Source organism: Homo sapiens, chromosome 2, assembly GCF_000001405.40.
Source record: "Homo sapiens chromosome 2, GRCh38.p14 Primary Assembly".
NCBI lineage: Eukaryota > Metazoa > Chordata > Mammalia > Primates > Hominidae > Homo > Homo sapiens.
In genome coordinates, this window is record NC_000002.12 from 62,324,566 (window position 1) to 62,329,812 (window position 5,247).

The 5,247-nt window shown below is 43.6% G+C and overlaps 3 annotated features.

The window, feature by feature from the left end:
• Window positions 1,135–2,334: an enhancer, noted in NCBI's record as "BRD4-independent group 4 enhancer chr2:62552835-62554034 (GRCh37/hg19 assembly coordinates)". NCBI's record gives its function as "activates an origin of replication core promoter dependent on BRD2, P300/CBP, MED14 and CDK7 cofactors, and independent of BRD4, by STARR-seq in HCT116 cells {active_cell/tissue: HCT116}" and the evidence as "EXISTENCE:reporter gene assay evidence [ECO:0000049][PMID:35650434]".
• Window positions 1,135–2,817: a biological region, named in NCBI's record as "BRD4-independent group 4 enhancer GRCh37_chr2:62552835-62554034".
• Window positions 2,028–2,817: an enhancer, noted in NCBI's record as "OCT4-NANOG hESC enhancer chr2:62553728-62554517 (GRCh37/hg19 assembly coordinates)". NCBI's record gives its function as "activates a minimal SCP1, AML or CMV promoter by ChIP-STARR-seq in naive H9 embryonic stem cells {active_cell/tissue: H9 hESC(naive)}" and the evidence as "EXISTENCE:reporter gene assay evidence [ECO:0000049][PMID:30033119]".

Genomic DNA, 5,247 nt, shown 5'->3' on the forward strand with positions numbered 1-5,247 from the left:
GGAAATCCATTTACCTTTTGCAGCTCCTGGAGGCCGCCACATTCCCTGGCTCATAGCCCCTTCCTTCTTCAAAGCCAGCCACGGCTGGCTGAGCCTTCCTCAGATCACATCACTCTGACACCCACTCTTGTTAACAAAAGACCATGAGGTACACAGAGAAAGGAAAGGAGAAGACTTTATTTTCAGAGGGAGAAGCAATCGTGGATTGAGGAACATAGCTTCCAGGGACAACCGAAAGTACACGCCCTACAGAAGGAAGGGGGAGCTGGTATATGTGTCTTATAGGGCAAGACTTACATGCGTATTGAGCAGGGTTGGGGACATTCTATGAATATTCATGAGGGATGGCTGGCACGTGCACAGTGGGTAAATGTCTATAACATACATTCCATTCACTTTGGGATGGGGTTTCAGGAATTAAAATGAGGTAGAATTTGGCTCTTGATCTCAAAAGGTAAACAGACACTTTGTGCACAGTCTCTATAAGCTAAATGGCTGTGACTGGCTTGAGGTCTGCAGCCATTTATCAGTAAAGAAAGTTTATAAGACCAGTCCTCTGTCCAATCAGAGTTGTGGTGGGGAGGGAGGGGAGATTGGAGACTGGGTATGCAGGAGGCAAGAGGGGGGCGTTGGGTCGGCTAGAATCTTGGGGTCATTTGGGAAATTTTCCAGCTATAGTTGTTTGGGCAATGCTTTTCAGGAAGTGGTTTCTGCTTAATTACAGGAAATAAACCTTATGGCCATTAACGACACTGGGATTCGTGACTAATCCTCCATCCTGCTGGCCATGAGATTCTGTTTTCGGTGTGTCTCATTTTAGCCACAAGGAGTCCACTTTGTTTGTTGGGGGTATATTTTAACACTCTTTTGCCTCCCTCTTCCACATTTAAGGATCTGTTAGGAATGCAAAATGCTTGTTCCCTGGTGCCATAAAGAAATAGCACTTGAACATAAATTTAATTCTCTCAACAAGGCAATTTTTACTTTCTGCAGAAAGGGTACACTCGCCAGCCATCTTGCCACGAGAGTATACTGAACAAAGGAAAAGCAGACATATTTATCTCTTACGCATTTGGGTCGTTCTTACTGCTGTGTCCTGCATCCACTAGCTGGAGCCAAACCTCATAGTCTAAACTGATACCCGATTTGCTAACAAGCTAAAACTTTCTTAAATAGGTGAAGGCAAGGGAGAACAAAGGAAAGGAGGAAGTTGCTTACAAAAGATTTAAAGAAGCAATAACATTTCCAAATAAGGAAGGGGCATAGGCTGTGAGCTGGAACGTGCCTGTGAGCATGTCCAACAGCTATATGGGATAGGGCTTAACAAAGAGTTATTAGCACAGATCAAAGAGGTTTGAAGAAAGTCTTTAAAAGAAACTATTATTTCTAACACTTATGATTTATTTTTTAACAAGAAGGGAAACTTTGAAGAGGAAACTTTTTACTTTCTATAGATCTATATGATTACATTGGGCCTACCTGCATAATCTAGGGTGCCCTTTCTATTTTAAGGTCAAGGGATTGGCAACCTTAATTCCCCTTTGCTATGTACTGTAACATATTTTCAGGTTTTGAGGATTAGGACTTGGGCGTCTTTGGGGGGCCATTATTCTGCCTACCAGGGTCACTCAGCTTTGCCCTGTGGTAGGAGATGGTGGTAATAACCATGATGGTAGTGGTGGTGAGGCTCATAGTCCTGATGAGTCTTGCTTGAAGCTATAGGTTAGTACCTTCCTGATTTTTACGTAGTGGGTGTCCTACATTTTCCAACCTTCCAGAATTACCCTTTACTTAAATAATCAAAGAAAAGAACATGCTCTGCAGCCAGAGGAATTCTAACCCCTTTCCAAATTGCCAAGAATTCCTGGAAGTACATCCACCCTCACAGTCACTGGTCTCCTGCCACTCTGCTGCTTCCAGCTTCTCCTGGATCTCTCTGGCTCCTCCATCACAGGCTCTGCATACCTTCCACTTCCTCTGAGGTTTTTCCTCCCAAACAGGGACCTTCCCGTCATTCTGGAGACAGGGCTACCTGGAGAGATCAAGGTTAGAAGGTTTTATTAACTCCACCGAAGGCCTGAAGATCCTTGTAAGGACTTTAAAGTACGGGAGGGGAGAACTTCATTTAGTACTTAGTACAGAGAAGTTCCTGAGTCCTTTGGTTACACCAGTGTCAAGGGAGGCCTTTACTTAAAGTCTCCCTCCTTGAGCCAAGCTTAAATTCTCTTCCCTGAAGCCCCAGGCCTCAAATTGCTCCTTCTAGGACCACCAAAGGAAACAGAAACCCTTAAATATTGACTTTATTATGCAGAGCATTATAGCTCCTTTGGTCTGCAAGAGCTTACTTCAGCCTGATCTCAGGGCCTTACCTTTGCATAACCACAGGGCCCATTAAGACGTTTTTCCCAAACAAAAGATACATTCTTTCCCAAGATGAATTCTTCTCCCACTCTTGGAATGCACAAATGCTGCAGTTGAAAAGTACAGCAAAGCAAAAACAGCTCCATTTATTTTTACTTCCATTATTTACCACAGAAACAAGTAGTGTTAGTATGTGTGCTGTGGTGGAAAAGACTTAGATTTTATATCACAACACGCATATCAATTGTATTAGTCCATTTTCACGCTGCTGATAGAGACATACCTGAGACTGGGCAATTTACAAAAGAAAGAGGTTTGATAGATGCACAGTTCCACTTGGCTGGGGAGGGGTCACAATCATGGTGGAAGGCAAGGTGAAGCAAGTCACATCTTCCATGGATGGCAGCAGGCCAAGAGAGAGAGCTTGTGCAGGGAAATTCCTCTTTATTAAGCCAACAGATCTTGTGAGACTTATTCACCATCACGAAAATAGCATGGGAAAGACCTGCCCCCATGATTCAATTACCTCCCATGGGGTCCCTCCCATGACACGTGGAAATTCAAGATGAGATTTGGGTGGGGACACAGCCAAACCATATCACCCATGCACACACATGACTTAAATAAAAGAAAAAATACCTATTCCTACTATTTGGGATACACACCTTGATATTTTCCATTCTGTTCAAATTTTAAAATGCTAAACATGATTTATGGAGGAGAACAAAATATGCCACCCTAAAATATGACCGTATGAAACCAGATTATGCCACTGTAGGGGAGTGAAAATGATTTCCTTCCACCCTTCTAGGTCCCTTGGCTGGGCTATGAATTAAATTGGCATAAGACAGATTAACAGGAGAAAAATCATATTTAATTATGATCATACGCACAGAGACCCACAAAATATGACTCAAAGAAAGACTGATGATTGGAGCTTATATGGCATCCTGAGCTACAGAAGGGAACAGGGGCTTGCAGCTTCTGCGGGTGTGGTGGCCACACAAGTTATGAGAGAATGAGGGGAGGAAATGTATGGTGAACAAAGGTCTTCCTGTTATGCAGGTAAAAGTCTCCCAGGTTGACTGGTTGGTGGCTCACTCCTGTAATCCCAGCACTTTGGGATGCCAAGGTGGGCAGATCACCTGAGGTCACGAGTTTGAGACAAGCCTGGCCAACGTGGTGAAACCCTGTCTCTACTAAAAATAAAAAATTAGCCAGGTGTGGTGGCATGTGCCTGTAGTCCCAGCTACTTGGGAGGCTGAGGCAGGAGAATCTCCTGAACCCTGGGGGCAGAGGTTGCAGTGAGCCGAGATCACACCACTCCACTCCAGCCTGGGTGACAGGGTGAAACTCCGTCTCAAAAAAAAAAAAGTCTCCCGGGTAACAAAAGTTGGCTGGAGCAGCCCTTAGGAGAATAAGTGGTTTCTGTCTGGATGTGACACCCAGGCTCTCTTGTGTGATCCCAGTTAATCTTCCCTGGTGGATGAGATTCCTGGGGAAGGGAATTCCTGGGATTCAGGACCATTGAGTTCCCTTTGGAGGATGGTCTTTAGGTAAGGGGAACTCAGAGAAAGCCTCTGCCTGATTTTCTGTTCCTCTATTCACCATGTACCCTCAGTTCAATGTAATCAGCACACCAAGGCATCATATTCTGGGGGTGGCAGTCCCTGAATTCCCTCACCTCCCCCAATAAATATGCCATTTTGGCATAAGGATTATTTGAGCTTGAGCCTTTTTTGTTTTTTTTCTTGAAAGGGTCTTGCTCTGTCACCCAAGCTGGAGTGCAGTGATGCGATCATAGCTCACTGCAGCGTCAAATTCCTGGGCTCAAGTGATCCTCCTGCCTCAGCCTTCTGAGTAGCTGGGACTACAAGTGCATGCTACTGCACATTTCTTCTATTTTTCTGTAGAGATGAGTCCTTGTTATGTTGCCCAGGTTGATCTCACACTCTTGGACTCAAGCGATCTTCTTGCCTTGGCCTCCCAAAGTGCTGGAATTACAGGTGTCAGCCACCGTGCCTAGCCCTAAGCTGATTATTTTGAGGAATAGCAGACACAGGAGAGGCTCCAAAACCAGTATAAGTTTCCCTTTGGTTAGGGAAATTTACATTTCTAAAGTAACTCCCCATTTGTAAGGATGTCTCCCTCTCTGCACCAGGAAGAAAAAGAAGACTCTAAATCACAAGACTTTTATCAGTGGAGAAAGCACTGACTTAAATCTGCACAGCAAATCTTACCCTTGTTTACTGTACTTTTCCTGGTCACCTTCCCATAACTTTCCTTGCCCACATCCTTCTGCCTTTGTTAGCTAAAGAGTGTATTTTAGCTCAAGTTTTAGCCACTACTCTTCCCTGAGTTTCTCCCATTTGTATATAAGATCTACATATTAATAAACTTCTGTTTGCCCTTCTCTTGCTAGTTATCTTTTGTAACAGGAGCTTGAGCTGAGAACATAGAAGAATAGAAGGAAATATTTTATTCTTCCCTTACACTCACTAAATATTTTTCATGACCTGCTGATAGCTCATAACCTGCACATTTAAAAGCATTGCACTAAGCAGAATACCCTTTTATCTCCCCTCCCAGGGCTAAATATTTGTGTAATGCTTTAGTGTCTACAAAGCATGTTTTAAAGCGTACATTATCCCATTTAATCCTTGCACAATCCCAAAATGGGAATAATAACTTTCCTTTTATAAATGGGGGGAAATGAGGTCTAAAATGTTGGAGCAGCTTGCCAAAGTCATGCACCCAGAAATGCAGAGTTTGGATATTAATCTCTGAATCTAAATCCAGGGCTCTTTCACCAAAACCAGACGCCTAGTCCCACTTTATCAATACCTTCAACTCTTATGGTTTAGGTTAAACTAGACAAAGTAAACT